Genomic DNA, 16,797 nt, shown 5'->3' on the forward strand with positions numbered 1-16,797 from the left:
ATTGAAGACCAGGCAAAATTAAGTAATATACTTTTAAGAATACAAATACATGTGGGAAAAAAAAACATTTAAAAACAAATGAACTGAAAACACATACACAAAGCCAGAGAATGATGTACACAAATTTTACAGGGATGGAAATTTTGTTAGGGGAAGCAGGAGCTTCCATCCCCTTATTACCTTCAATACCCATTATTGCCTTTGGGAGACCGCAAGGGTAATGGTAATATCATTTTCTTATGCTAGGCTTTGTGTGAATGCGTGTTCATATATTGTTATTCTCTGTATTTTATAGATGTAATGCTATTTAATGCTTAACACAAATTATTAATAAAACTCCACAAAGTATCTATGACAACTCTACAAAAAAGCCCAGGGTTAGGCTGGATCCAGAGCTGGCTCTTCAGTGGCACAATGACATCATCCAGGATCAAGATCCTCTCCACTCTTCTGCTCACTTTGCAATCCTCAATTTATCAACAGTCTTTCCTTCTGCTCACAAACTGACCACAGAACTTCCAAATGTTACAAAAACCCAGGAATATACCCAGCAAAGAAGGAGGGTCTCCATCCATGCATTTATTAGTGAGACAACCCTTCTACAGAAGACGTCCCCTCAGTGCCATTGACCAGGATTTGGGGCACATGTCCATTCCTAAACGAATCCTGGGCAAAGAATACTGGATCATCATGACTGGCTTAGAACACTGATTCTCAAAGTTTGGTCCTTGGGCCATCAGCATCAGCATTCCCTCAAAACTTGATAGAAATGCCCTACCCAAGACCTATGGAATCAGATATTCTGGGGGTGCAGCTCAGCAGCCTGTGTTTTAATACATTCCCCAAGTGAATCTCATGCATGCTAGAGTTTGAGAACACTGGCTTAGGCTTAGACTAATTCAAACTTAAACTCCGAAGCTAGAGATATGATCACATTCCTGAGGACACAGGAGGGAAAGTGAACACCTAATCAAATGTGGGGCTGTCACAGGAAAGAAAGACGTTTGCCATAGAGTCTCCCTGAAGAATCCTTCAGGACATCAGAGAAGGGTTAGAGGCCTCAAGCAAAGCGAAATGTGACTTGGCTCAGCAGGATGAGAGAAGTTCATAGGAATGGGAAGGAAGGGCATTTCAAAAAGTAGAAAGAAAATGAGAAAGTCACTATACTTCCTTTAGCCCAGAGCCACTTAACTAATTGGGATTCATTTGTTGCAGATAAAGTAAAAATTCATTTCCCCAAATGTCAATCTAATAATATAAAAGCCCCCAACACCTTCTTTTTCAATTATAAATATGCCTAAAGGGGAATTATAATGTTAAAGTACCGCAGTGTGAACAAAGCGACTAATTCCCCTGTGGTTATTTTTCATGTTTAGATTAACTTAGGGAGACTCTGTATTACCCACGTCAGAATTTCTCTGTACACCTAAATTATCATCACTATTTTCCTCAAACATGTTCTAACAACAATATCTGGAGTCATAGTTTTAAGTACTTTGAGGGTTTTCTAATGTGAATAAGAAATGAATATCAAAAGGTGGCAAATAAATAAGTTAAAGACAAATAACAGACCAGAGGGAATATCTGCAACATGTAGAAAAGGAAAGAAGTTGATGTTCATAATATATACAAAGATCCTACAAATAAGAAAGAAAAAGAAACAAAATTCAATTAAAAATGAGAAAGGATGTAAACAGGTCATCCATTTATTCATTCACTCAACTACCCATTTTTTAAAATTCCGTATCATTTGCATCCTGGCTCCACCCTTCCTAGTTGTGTGACCTGGGACAGTTTGTTTAAATTCTGTACAGCTCAGTTTTCCCACCAGCCATAAGCAGATAATAATAGTACGTACTTCATAGGGTCTTTGTAAGTATCAAAACAGTAAATATACGTTAAAGGCACAAGAAGCCTCAGAAATGCTAGCTATCAAGTTATTATCTTATATATTACAAGACAGGCACTCTTCTAGGCATGGCAATTCTCAAAAGAAGAAAAATGAATAGTCAGAAAATAGCAAACAATGCTTACTATCAACAATATGCACAGGTTTGTGGGGATATAGCATTCTCATGCTTCATCAGTGTAAACTCGGAGCAAAGATTGTGGAACAAGTGAATAGCATCAACTTTAAATGCATATACAACGTGATGCCAGAATGCTACCCATAGGACTTTACTTGAAGATACTCAAAAAAGCATGAAAATGTTTATCACCATATTTTTATAACAGAAAAGAATACTGGAAATATCCTAAATGTCCATATATGGGGACTGGTAAAAGAAATATGGTACATTTAAATTATGGGAAATCTATTAACAAACTAAGATAGATATATATATACTGATATGAAGACACCTTCAAGATATAATATTAAGTTTTTCGAATGAGTGTAACATGATCCTTTTGTGAACATCTTAAAGGGTTTACACATATATTGCATATGCATGAACATTTCTTGGGAAAGAAAATGTCACTGTGGGAAAAAGAACTAAAGATCAGGGATGGTGGGAAGTTATTTCCATTTTTCCTTTTTATACTACTGGAATTTTTCTATAGCTATTCTTTTTAATGTGGTGAGATTATGAGTTGTCTTTTTTCTTCTTTATTTTTTCAGGGTTTTTTAAATCTAACACTTAAAAAAAGCACAGGTGCTTATCTCACAATTTTTAAGGGTCAGAAATTCAAGAGTGGCTTATTAGGATGGCAGGATGCTTCTAGCTCAGGATCTTTCATGAGGCTGCAGTCTCAGCTGAAGGCTTGGTTGAAGCCAGAAGACTTGATTGCAAGGTCACCCATGTGTCCATCAGCCAGAGGCCTCAGTTCTTCACCAAGTGGGCCTTTTCATAGGTCTGCTCACAATATGGCAGCTGGCTTTCCCCAGAGCAAGTGTTCTAAGAGAGAGAGCAAGAGAACAAGTAGGAAGCCACAGTGGCTTTCATGAAATGGCCTCTGAAGTTATATTCCATCACTTCTGCTTTATTCTATTCATTAGAAGTGAATAGTATCCATGAGTTTGCAGACATTTCAAAACCACAAATGACAGAAGAGGAATATTTATGAGTTAAATATAGAAAGAAAGAGAAGTAGGATTTGATGTATTGAAGTAGATTTGTGAAAAGAACACTAACCTTGAATCAGGAGAGCTGGGGTTTATTTCACCACATACAGCAAGTACCTAATAGATGTTTGGGACCAGGCACAGTGGCTCATGCCTGTAATCCCAGCACTTTGGGAGGCAGAGGCAGTCAGGTCCCTTGAGGTCAGGAGTTCGAGACCAGCCTGGCCAACATGGTGAAACCCTGTCTCCACCAAAAGTACAAAAATTTGTCGGGGGTGGTGGTGCATGACTGTAGTCCCAGCTACTTGGGAGGCTGAGGCAGGAGAATCGCTTGAACCCGAGAGGCAGAGGTTGCAGTGAGCCGAGATCGTGCCACTTCACCCCAGCCTGGGCAACAAACTGAGACTGTGCCTCAAAAATAAATAAATAAATAAAATAAAAATAAATAAATAAGTGTTTAGTAAGTTTTCTTTAAATGAATGAAGGTAGAAATTACAGCTTTTCTGAGACTGTTTTCAAGTCTTTGGCTATGTGCATAAGAGCAGTTACCACATTACAAAGGCTCTCCAGAGAGTTGGGTGGGATAATGGGTATCAGAGGTCTTTGTAAATTTAACATTTGTAGCCAAATTTTGCAAGGACACAAATTTGGCCTGAGAAAGGAGGAAGAGGCTCCGGCATACTGGAGTCCTTGCCCATGCCAGGTGTCTTTTCTGCATGGCAGGGTCCCAGGACCTGGGGCAGCAGTCTGATTCCAGCTCCCCATCTGAACTCTATCTCAGCCCAGCCCAGACTCCTTGCAATGTCTTACTTCCAGTTGTTGCTAAAAATCTGATACATTTTATTTTATGACAGCACCAAACTCATTGGTCTTCCCTATCTTGATAAATAGCAACTCAATTTTTCCCATCACTCAGGCCAAAACTTGGAGTCATTCCCAACATCTCTCTCTATATCACTCCTCACATCCAATTGATCAGTAAATCCTTCTAACTATATCCAGCATCCAGCTTATCACACTTCTATCACTACCATGCTATCCAAGCAGTCCCCCCACCCCACCCCCAACCAAACATGTCACCTGGTACACCAACATGATTTCTCTCTAAAGAGAAATCTCTTTTCAACAAGCCATTTGCCTGGATCTAACATCAAAGTCTGAATACAATTTCTGACCCTGCCACCAGTATCATTTTGCAACATTTTCCACAGACTATATAATCTAATATTATATGATGAGTAGGCGTGATGCAGGCCTGGTGGCACCACACTGCAGCCATGTCATAACGACAAGTCTATGAGCATATTTGTCTCCTGCGTCACAAGACCCAGGCCTGACTAGGGTCTACCATGACAAGCAACACTTGGAACTACTAACCTGTATGTGACAGGAAGGGGGAACACCATCAAACGCTGAAGTTTATAAAACAGAAAAAGTGAGTATACATGATCCTCTATGATATCACACCATTGAATTAACCTATCCTGAAACTGCCAGACTTCTTGTGTCAGATAATTAAACTCTTATTGCTTAAACCACTTATTAGTTTTTCTGTTGCAGCCAAAAACATCCTTCATCCTTATCAACACATCTGCTATTGGTAAGTGTTCATTAAATGAACAGCTAAAACTAGAAAGGATTATGGCAATTTTTAAAAAATCAAATACAGTTAGTCAGTTAAAATACAATAATAAAACTATTCCAGAAACACAATAGAGAAATAGGATACATGATGCTACTAAAAATCTCAGATTAGATAGTCATTAATATTAAATCTAAAGTTCCTGACTCCAGAGGGAAAAAAGAAGAATACCAACATTTTAGGAGAGAAAAACGTTTTCCTGATACTAATCCTATGTGAAATCTACCATGAGAAGATAAGGGATATAGAATAACATTATAGAGGCAATGTTTCTATGGCAAAGATTGTTCATGCTCGCCAAATATCCAAGTGTTCCATATCCCAGACCCCATGAATCCCAGTGGGATCATGTCACTAATTCTTAACAATGGAATGTGAGCTAAAGTGATGTATCATTTGTGATCCAGGAAGGATGCACTTCTCCACACCTTCTGGATCTCCTGTCCATACAGCTGGAAACAAAATGCTCTCAAGATGACAGTTTCCAAATAAAAGCAACTTGGATCCCTGAGCTGTCACTTGATGGAAAGCCAAGCAGGAGACCAACCCAATCTACATCAGATTGTGATACTAAAAAGAAATAAATCTTGTTGTGTTAAGCCACTGAGATTTTCGGGTTTATCTGTTCCACTGAATAGCTCAGCTTAGCCTGGCTACTACAGTATCCAACAATAACTTTACACTCTACTTAAGATTTTTAGAATCAAGAATGCCATTTGGAAGAGACAGATGGTTGAGGTTTAATTCTTCTAAGTTGAACACATCCTTCCTTTTCATAACAATCCTAGTTCCTCTTCCAAACACAACGCAGAAATGCACACCATGATTTGGTATCTTCTTGAGTCCAGTAATTATCCTATCTCTCTAAGAGCTGTCCTTTCTCAGGGAACTCTTGTTCACATCCGTTCTGTTTCATCCTTTCAATGCAGCATTTAAGAAGCTGAAAACAGAGAAAGAAGACAAGGATAAGTTTAAAACACCAACTTAGTGATGGTAAGAAAAAGAACATCACTGAAAGGTTATATATATATTGGGAGAGTCCTCTTTTTTCAGCACTAAAAATCATATCAATTGTATCATTTCAAATGCTCTGGAATTCAGTAATCCATTACTATAAAGAGTGTGCCAAACCAAAAATATCTGAGATCTCCAAATGAGCACTTTCTTGACTAGAAAAATCCTGGGCACCTACATCATCTCAAATGTATAAAAATAAACTGTGAAAGAGTAAAACGCTGGGGGAGGAAGGCAAATACTTGTATTTTATCATTTCAGGTGCCAATCTGTAGATTTTTCTACCTCTGCCTTTCTGAGTATAATGCATGGACTGATCCGAGTTTCCCTGAGCTGCTCCAGCACTCAACCTGGGGAGGTTTCACACTGAGTCATCCTTCCTATTAGGCTGCTTAGGGAGGGAATGACTGGGATTCCCAATGTAATCCGAGCACCCTTTACTGCCACTTATACCCAAGATGCTATATCCCAAAATGATAACTAATTTCCTGTGTGGACCCTGAATCTCTCCCCCTACCCTAAGTTTTTATCATTAAGTTCCTGCTTTTGACTTTATAGGATCTATTCTTTGGTCCCTATTTCAAGCTATTGTTCCTAAGATTATTCTTACTAGTCCTGCCCCCACTCCAAAATACCCTGGTCCCTAAAGTTGGTGCCTATGACCAAGTATGTTTAACAATACTGAGTATTTGTCATATATCAATAATAAATACATGATGTCTTATCATTTAAGGTAGGGGTCACCAACCCCCAGGCCACAGACCAGTACCAGTCCATGGCCTGTTAGGAATTGGGCTGCTCAGCAGGAGGTGAGTGGCAGGTGAGTGAGCAAAGCTTCATCTGTATTTACAGCTGTTCCCCATGGCTCCCATTACTGCCTGAGCTCCGCCTCCTGTCAGATCAGCAGCAGCATTTGATTCTCATAGGAGCACAAGCCTTATTGTGAACTGTGCCTGTGAGGAATCTAGGTTGCACACTCCTTATGAGAATCTAATACCTGATGATCTGTCACTGTCTCCCATCACCACCAGATGGGACCGTCTAGTTACAGGAAACAAGCTCAGGGCTCCTACTGATTCTACATTATGGTGAGTGGTATAATTACATCATTTTATATTACAATGTAATAATAATAGAAATAAAGTGCACAATAAATGTAATGCACTTGAATCATCCCAAAACCATGTCCCTGCACCCCACCTCCCCAGTCCATGGAAAAATTGTCTTCCACAAAACTGGTCTCTGGTGCCAAAAACATTAGGGACCACTGATTTAAGGAATCAAAGAAAAATTATTTCTAAAAGTTAAAAAACTTTTTTTAAAAGATTGAAGCCACAAAGTATAAAGTCAGTTTATTTTAAAGGATATTCTAGACATAATGATCAGGCCATAAGTGAACTGGTTTTCCTACAGAATCTTTAAATTGTCACAACCACACATTAAGGTAGGCACTATCATATTAGCCCTACTCTGTAAAAGAGGAAACCGAAAACTAAAGAAGTTAGGTAACTTGTCCAGAGTTTCCAGGCTAGGAAGTGGCAGAGTCACTGCTGTCTGATACTATTTAATTTAAGGAATCAAATGTTCCAAGTTATAATGGGTTTCAATAAATTATTGTATTGTCCAGAGGCAAGCCAATGAAAGTGCTTAATGGGTTGACAGAGCACAGGATGTTCCTGTACTATCTAGAGCCTCCCAGGATTAGGGGGTGGAACGGCACCTGCTCGAGAGAGACGTGTGTGTGTGTGTGTGTGTGTGTGTGTGTGTGTGTGTGTGTGTGTGTGTGTATGATGGCGGAAGCGGAGAAGAAGGTCCAGCCAGGAAGGCGTTATCCATGTCAGTGCATAAATGAGCAGATAGGATACAAAAGCAGAACCTAAAGGTAATTTTTCCATCAGTAAATCAAGAAGGACAGATCTACACTTCAGAACTTTTGTCGTCAGCCAAAAGTTTAGGGAAGCTAATCTAAGAGCTGAGGACATGCACAAAGGAATCGTACCTATGTGATGCCCGGACTGCTAGGACTGGGGTTGGGAGAAGAGGGTCAGAAGGGCTTTTTAAAGGAGTTTCCTCAGCTGCTGACCATTCTCAGTGCTGGACAGATCCAGCCTCCCTTCCCATATTCCCATACTCTCCCTCCAGAATCAGAGTTAAATCAATCTGATCTCTGGAAGGTTCATTATTATTTTAAAACTACACTGTGGTGTCTTCAGAATAAGGGGGAAAGTGGAGGTTCCAGTTCTTTGCACAGGTAGGAAAAGAGAGGAAGATCTAAACTAAAATACTCTATTTGGTCCAAGATAAATATACTCACACACTCATTTACTTAAGCAATATGTGATGTTATAAACTAGATTGAACATCAATTCTCAAATCATGCATTGGATAAGAGCACCCTCATCAGGCCACAACTAATTTATTGAGTTATAGTAACTGTGCTAAACTATCATTTGGCTTCCAAAACGAGAAAGTGATGCAATAATAAGCAAAAATTGCAGAGGCATATGCCAACTGTCTCAAAATTGTCCCCCAAAGTCATCTTACCCAATTAATAAAGGCAATTGCTAGACAATGTCAGGTGTATTCATAGGGAAAAGAACATTAAGGTCAAAATGTTTTTGTTGAAGTTCTACCACTAACTGTGTGACCTTCACAAGTTGATGAACCTCTGTTAGCCTCTATTTACTCATCTCTAAAATGCGCATGACCTTATTAAGTCTGCCTCACTAGGATCAAATAAGATACATTTCAAAGTCCTATGAAGTAAAATATAAAGCACTTAATAAAACAATTATAAATTCAGGTATTATCAGTATTATTTTTACTGAATATGATATAGCATAAAGTATCACCTCATTTTGTTCACATCACAAAAATAACACGACAAAAAAAGACATTTGTTATTTCTGTGTTATAGGTATCCACATTCTTTAAAAGGTGAATAACGTAATTACAAAAAAAAAAAAAGCACTGGCTGTGCAGAGGATCTTATAAAGATGTGCAGTTCAGACTCATGTCTTAAATGATTTACTTTTTAACTCCTTGTCACGGCTCTGAATCATTTAAATTGGAGAAGAGTATCAACAAAGATTCATTTAAGTACCACAGGTAGGGCACTGTGCTAGGCTTTCAAAGAAATACACTAATTTTGTATGTAGATCTTAGATCCTCGGAGACACCTCAAGAAGTCATCTACTATACAGAGTAAGTTTCCCTTACAGATCCTGTCTCAGAGAAAGATCTCAAAGGATAAAATATGTTAATCACGGTGACCCCTAGAAAGTGTAGTTAAAGGTAGAACCTTCATGTCTGTATTGTTAGAAAGTTTTAAATAATAAATACATGGTGTTTTGACATTTAAGGAATCAAACAAAAATGACTTGTAATGCTAATAGACATATTTTAAAGAATGAAGCCAGAAAGTATAAAGTCAAAGGCTTAGGTTCCAAGAACATTCTGGAGATAATCATGTGCAGCCTGAAGCAAGTCTTCAGACTCCTGCACTTGCATTTCACCTCTAAGAAATTTGCAAAACTAGTGAGCTTGCCATTAGGACTTTAGTGCTCTTCTGCATAGTTTTAAGTGAAACATCTAAATTTTTATTATAATTAGTTTAAAAGGATAATTTTTGGCGTGCTGTATTGGTGTCTTAACATGTGTACAATCGAATCTAAATATAGCAATTTGAGACTCATTATCACTCATTAAAAAACAAGCTCTTGGCCAGGCGCAGTGGCTCACGCCTGTAATCCCAGCACTTTGGGAGGCCGAGGAGGGCGGATCACTTGAAGCTAGGAATTCAAGACCAGCCTGGCCAACATGGTGAAACCCAATCTCTACTAAAAATACAAAAATTAGGCCAGGCATAGTGGCTCACGCCTGTAATCCCAGCACTTTGGGAGGTCGAGGCGGGTGGATCACAAGGTCAAGTGTTCATGACCAGCCTGATCAACATGGTGAAACTCTGTCTCTACTAAAAATACAAAACTAAGCCGGGCGTGGTGGTGCGTGCTTGTAATCCCAGCTACTCAGGAGGCTGAGGCAGGAGAATAGCTTGAACCTGGGAGGTGGAGGTTGCAGTGAGCCAAGATCACACCAGTACACCCCAGTCTGGGCAACAGAGCGAGACTCCATTAAAAAAAAAAAAATAGCTGGGAGTGGTGGCACATGCCTGTAATCCCAGCTACTCAGGAGGATGAGGCAGGAGAATCACTTCAACCCAGGAAGCAGAGGTTGCAGTGAGCCAAGATCATGCCACTGCACTCCAGCCTGGGCGACAGAGCAAGACTCCTTCTCAGAAAAAAAAAAAAAAAACAAAAACCTCTTCTTTAAAAGATGAAAATTCTTCATTTTTCTCCTTTAACTCTGAACCACTTAGGGTTCAGTACAAGAAACAGAAACCACTCAAGGCATTTTAAGCAAAAAGAGATTTAATATAGAGAATTGGGTTTTTACAAAATCACAGAGCGAGCTCTAGGCTTCCAAAAGTCCAGCATAGGTAAATGCACAGAGACAGAAAGTAGGTAAGTGGTTGCCTAGGGATGGGGGCAGAGGATGGGACATAGGGGTTATGAGTGTGATGGGGGAGATGAGGAGTGACTGCTAAAAGAGTACATAGTTTATTGGAACATAGGCCTGTTCATTCATTTATGTATTGCCTATGGCCGCATTCACATTGCAATGGGAGACCTGAGTAATTACAACAGAGGCTGTATGACCCTCAAAGCCTAAAGTATGTACTATTTTGTCCTTTAAGAAAAAGTTTGAGAAATAAAATGTGGCACATATACACCATGGAATACTATGCAGCCATAAAAAATGATGAGTTCATGTCCTTTGTAGGGACATGGATGAAATTGGAAATCATCATTCTCGGTAAACTATCGCAAGGACAAAAAACCAAACACCGCATGTTCTCACTCATAGGTGGGAATTGAACAATGAGAACACATGGACACAGGAAGGGGAACATCACACTCCAGGGACTGTTGTGGGGTGGGGGGAGTGGGGAGGGATAGCATTAGGAGATATACCTAATGCTAAATGACAAGTTAATGGGTGCAGCACACCAGCATGGCACATGTATACATATGTAACTAACCTGCACATTGTGCACATGTACCCTAAAACTTAAAGTATAATAATAATAAAATAAAGAAAGAAAAAAAAAAAGAAAAGAAAAAGTTTGCCGGCCAGGTGCGGTGGCTTACACCTGTAATCCCAACAGTCTGGAAGGCAGAGGCAGGTGGATCATCTGAGGTCAGGAGTTCGAGACCAGCCTGGCCAACATGGTGAAACCCCGTCTCTACTAAAAATACAAAAAAAATAGCCAGGTGTGGTGGCAGGCGCCTGTAATCCCAGCTACTCGGGAGGCTGAGGCAGGAGAATTGCTTGAACCCGACAGGCAGAGGTTGCAGTGAGCCAAGATCGTGCCATTGCACTGTAGCCTGGGTGACAAAAGCGAGACTCCTCTTCAAAAAAATAAAAATAAAAAAGTTTGCCAACCCCAGCTTTTATTCAAAGATGCAGCGTTGAACTGTCAGGAATAAATATGTAAACTTTCACCTTCTCTTCCTTGAAATAAACCTAAAGGAGCACCCAGGACACAGAATGAGATGCTGGGAAAGCAAGTCCTCACCAAGCTGTTTCTCACTAAGAACTGTAAAAATTCAGAATGGTCCACCTTGTAAATTGGTATTTCCCAGTGTGCTTCTTGCTTCTTGCTTTAAATATTCTAATCTATGATAGATAAACAATAGTTTTATTTTCAAATGGCAATATTTATATATGCCAGAAATTACATCCTTTGCAACTATTTAAACTTATGATGATTAATTTTAGATGTCAACTCTAAAATGTATGTGGAATACATAGCTATTTTTGTGTTTGTTTTTTTCAAAATGCTTGAAGAGAGCATGCAAGCAAAAATGTTGAAAGATCACTGGCTGAAAGAAGAAAGTCCATCTTTGATTTTGGCAAGAGTTTCAGGTGAATGTATAACCTCCCTCCACCCCAACTAGAATTGCCCTAATGATTAGCTTTTTTTGTAATTTATTAAGGTACCTGGTGTCTTTGTTCATTTGCTGTATCACCTTATAGAAGTTTGCAGAAGTAAAGCTCTACATACAAGCTATTTGGGTATGGACACACATGTGAAAAGGAAACTAACATCTACTGAGCATCTGCCACTTGCCAGACCCTCTACATAAATTCTCTTATTAATTCCTCACAATTTTACTTTGAGGTACATGTTATTATTATGTTAATCTCATGTTATAGCCTAAAAAAGATACTAAGTGATTTCAGGTAATATACTCAAAACCATATAACTAGTAAACAACAGAACTAGCATAGAAACCCAAGACTGACACTAAAGCCCATGTATCTTCCATTCTCTGCTCCGCCTAATTCAACTTTCTGATTCCTCAGTTCTACATAGACATGTATCTGAGTCCATGACAAGCAAGTACTCTGGAACCTATGATGGTACTACTTAGTCCCTAACAGTCCCTGACACTTAGCTCCCCTATCATTATTTTTTAAATTTAGAAAAATAAATGTTTTTAGACAGAGTCTCACTGCCACCCAGGCTGAAGTGCAGTGGCATGATCACAGCTCACTGCAGCCTCGACCTCCCAGGCTTAAGCAATCCCCTCATCTCAGCCTCCCGAGTTGCTGGGATTACAGACACATAACATCACACCTGGATAATTTTTGTGTTTTTAGTGGAGATGGGGTTTCACCATGTTGCCCAGGCTGATCTCAAACTCCTGGGCTCAAGCAATTTGCCCACCTCAGCCTCCCAAAGGGCTGGGATTACAAGTGTGAGCCACTGCACCAAGCCTAAAAAAATTTTTTGATAGCGACAGAGTCTTGCTATGTTTCCCAGGCTGGTCTCAAACTTCAAGGCTCAAACGATCCTCCCATCTTGGCCTCCCAAAGTGCTAGGGTTACAGGCAGAGCCACTGCACCTGGCAAGTTCCCCTATAATCATTGTTTGGAAAAATATTCAAACCACCTAAGTACCAGTAGGTGACTGGCACCAGCCAGTCCAAACAAAACCCAGTCTAAAGATGGGGACAGGGCCACCTGTGTTTACCAGTTGACTATCAACCCTGCCTAAAAGCATAGCATCTTCCAAAAAGCTGAAAAGGATGAACTTGCCCAACCATCTCATTGTTTTCAGATAAGGATGCTAAGGACTCAGAGATTAATGCCCTACTAAATGTCACACCATCAGTGGCTGGCTAGGCCAAAATAGAATCTCCTGTATTTTGATGATTGATTGATAAGTTGGTGAATTAGTGACACACTCTGCCTTCTTTCTTTTAGAATCTAAAAGAACTACAGATGGCTTCTTAAACACAATCTACAGTGCTGGAGCATGGGCAATTGAAAGTTCAGAATAGATCCATGAATACCTGTTAAATGGTTCCAGTCCTGATATCTGTCCCACTTTTCTTCACTTCGTACCTCATCATCCACTGTTTGCATTCTACCAGTGGAGAACAGTGCATGTAAAACTATACTCAAATCACCTGGGAGATTCTCCTTGTTAAATTTCAGTCTGTTTGAGTAGGTGTGGAATGAAAGCCAAGATTCTACATGTTTTTAACAAGCTCCCAAGTGATGCCAATGTTGCTCACCACACTTTGTTTTTTGTTTTTTGTTTTGGGGGTTTTGTTGAGACAGGGTCTTGCTTGTTGCCCAGGCTGGAGTGCAATGGCATGATCACGGCTCATTACAGCCTCGACCTCCCAGACTCAATCAATCCTCCTGCCTCGGCCTCCTAAGTAGCTGGGACTACAGGTGTGCACCACCATGCCTGGCTAATTTCTGTATTTTCTTTTTTGTAGAGACAGGGTTTTGCCATATTGCCCAGACTGATCGTGAACTCCCGGCACAATTTGAGTAGGAAGGACTTACATAACATTGTAAGAGTAGTGTTATATACAAGAACTTTTCTAATTTTAATAGGAGAAAGAAAAGATTAAATGGTGCTAAGGAATACCCAAATTAAGACAATCTCTAAAATCTGTATTTCTGAGCACCGAACTCTAACCAGTAAGCAAGTAGCTGCATTTGATGTGTTGGGAAATAGAATTATCACTACTCCTTAAAAAAAATTAAAAACATTTAAAACTTATTATATAAACACACCTACCCTGGATTATACTATCTTTTATACTTTAATAAAAGTAATAATGCTGATTAGAATACCTATTTAAAACATGTGCTGCATTTTTCTCCTGGCTAAGAATTCATAACATTCTATTTCTCTTGTACTTGGCTCATTACTCTTCACACTACTTCCTGAAAACAATTCTACCACCAAGTGGACAATACAAAAATTAGCTTACATGATGTTCAACTTTCTCCATTTCTATTCTCCAACTTCACAGGTTAGCAAAGCGTTCTTGATTTGGCCTAGTTAATAGAGCCCCAGCAAGACTCACTATTTGAAGACTGATAGCCTCAAAAGATAAGCCAGATTTAAAAATCATTTTCCAGTACCATTTAAACCATGGTATCTAACACTGCTGATAAAGATGTGTAACAGTAGATAAATATTTCCTCCATGGACACCAATGACTAGAATACAACACTGAAGCAGTTTTCTGACATATGAACTCACGGCATGTGTTAATTCACAGCCACAGACCTTGGATAATGAAAGCCACATGATGTTCACTGCTTTTATCTTGGGTTTTTAAAATTCTACACCTAATTCAAAAACAGAAACAAGCAACATTACAGAGAATAACACAGTGAGAACACCAGTGCCCTTCCACTATGGAGAGTGTGTTTGCCCCACCCCTTGACTCTAGCTCAGTCACATAATTTATTTTGGCCAATAGGATGTTAGCAGACATGACATCAGCACACACTTGGAAAGAGCTTGCTGATTGAGCTTATTTGGTCTTGCATCTCTGTTATCACCATGAGAACATGCCCTGCATAGTCTTCTGGAGGACGACAGGCACATGGAACAAAACTATGCTGCCCCAGTAGCCCCAGCCAACAGCCAACTGACCCCCACATATGTAGGCAAACCCAGGCAAGATCAGATGAGCTGCTTAATTGACCCTCCACTGAACTCAGGCACTTGAGCAATAAACTTATTTTTTATGCACTAAGGCTTTCTGATTGTTTGTTATGCGGTATCACTGTGGCAACAGATAGCTGATACAAGGTTAGATACAATGTTTCATTGGTGAAATGAGTGATGTTCTTAATGTGTAGTTAGCTTAATAAATTGTGCAGTCACTTCTGCCCTTTGATGTAAGAATCAGCCAAGACTAGCAGCTTAACATCTTTAGAATTGACTCTAGAAATAGAAGTGCATTCAATGCTATGATTCCCCCTACCTACATCAAAACAAAGAATTTGATTGCCTCACCCAACTGGAAGGCTAGCTGATCCTGCTGCTTTCACAATATTTTTGCATTGGCCTTAGATTGAATCTTTCATGCAAGCATCTTGCTCAGAAACCTGAAAGGAGAGAGAATGAGGACTTCACTGTGCTTATATGAACTGGCTATATAATTGTTTTTGTGCTTGCGGAACAATAGATCCTTGTACCTGAGGCAAAATTTGATTCAAAGCTTGCTTTTATCAAAAAATAGCTCTAGGTAGCAAGGTTGTAGCAAAGGAGATACAGCTTCCACCCACCTCTAATGATCACAGGTACCAACATTTACTGAGAGAATCTGTCTGTTGACAATAGCCAGATTGGCTTATGTCAGTTTGCAAAACAGAATAATTCCACATCTGGCACAACAGGAATTATATCTTATTAATGGTAGGACCTTGCAAATGCTGAATTTGTTGAAATAGAGTTTATTGAATCCATATGAACTGCTTTAATTTTAAAGATAAGGAAGTGAAACCTAAGAAGGTTAAGGGAAATTCTCAAACTCACATCAGAAACTTAGTAGCAGATTTAGGTCTCAAATCCAGTTTCCCAAGTACATAAATAGTTATTTGGCCAGGTGCGGTGGCTTGCACCTGTAATCCCAGCACTTTGGGAGGCTGAAGCGTGAGGATTGCTGGAGGCCAGGAGTTCAAGACTAGCCTGGACAACATAGCTAGATCCCATCTCTACTAAAAATTTAAAAATTAGCCAGGTGTGGTGATACACGCCTATAGTCCCAGCTATTTAGGAAGCTGAGGTGGGAGGATCGTTTGAGCCCAGGAGTTCAAGGCTGCAGTGAACTATGATCACATCATTGCACTCCAGCCTAAGCAATAGAATGAGACCATATCTCTAAAGATAATAATAATAATTCTTATTTTTCTTATTTGACTTCCTATTAGTTACTTTTTCACTCAATTTTGTTGGTCTTTTCTAAGAACCAGCATTTAGTTTTGTTGATTTTTTTTTTTTTTTTTTTTTGAGATGGAGTCTTGCTCTGTCACCAGGCTGGAGTGCAGTGCCGCAATCTTGGCTCAACGCAACCTGTGCCTACCAGGTCCAAACTATTCCCCTCCCTCAGCCTCCCAAGTAGCTGGGACTACAGGTGTGCACAACCATGCCCGGCTAATTTTTTTTTTTTTTGTATTCTAGTAGAGATGGGGTTTCACATCATGTTGGCCAGGATGGTCTCAATCTCCTGACCTTGTGATCCACCCGCCTCAGCCTCCCAAAGTGCTGGGATTACAGGTGTGAGCCACTGCACCTGGGCTTTGTTGATTTTCTTTACTGTTTTTCTATTCTCTATTTCATTATTGCCAGTCTAATTTTTTTCTTTCTGTTTATGTTGGGTTTCATTTGTTCTTTTCCTTTTTTTGGAAACAGAGTCTCACTCTGTCACCCAGGCTGGAGTGCAGTGGTATGATCTTGGCTCTCTGCAACCTCCGCCTCCCTCCTAGGTTCAAGCAATTCTCCTGCCTCAGCCTCCCAAGGAGCTGAGATTACAGGTACGTGCCACCACACTTGGCTAATTTTTGTATTTTTAGTTGAGAAGGGGTTTTACCATGTTGGCCAGGCTGGTCTGGAACTCCTGACCTCAAGTAATCCACCCACCTCAGCCTCCGAAAGTGCTGGGATTACACGTGTGAGCCACCACACCCGGCT

General features: G+C 39.8%; 1 long non-coding RNA gene across 3 annotated transcripts in view; it reads right to left on the reverse strand.

Moving 5' to 3' along the window:
- Positions 1-1,666: 1,666 nt before the first annotated feature.
- LOC105377308 (uncharacterized) overlaps positions 1,667-16,797 on the reverse strand; it is a 42,328-nt gene continuing 27,197 nt past the window's right edge. Inside the window, exons 1-3 of one of the 3 annotated variants that reach the window (XR_001741753.2) lie at positions 15,121-15,392; positions 5,528-5,646; positions 1,667-2,897 (exon numbers count right to left, since the gene is read on the reverse strand). This is a non-coding gene — a long non-coding RNA (uncharacterized LOC105377308). Of the gene's footprint in view, positions 5,647-15,120; positions 15,393-16,797 lie in introns of those variants that run through there. The other 2 variants (XR_938936.3, XR_001741754.2) reach the window with 2 other exon arrangements.

Source organism: Homo sapiens, chromosome 4 (genome assembly GCF_000001405.40).
Source record: "Homo sapiens chromosome 4, GRCh38.p14 Primary Assembly".
In the NCBI taxonomy this organism is placed as follows: Eukaryota; Metazoa; Chordata; class Mammalia; order Primates; family Hominidae; genus Homo; species Homo sapiens.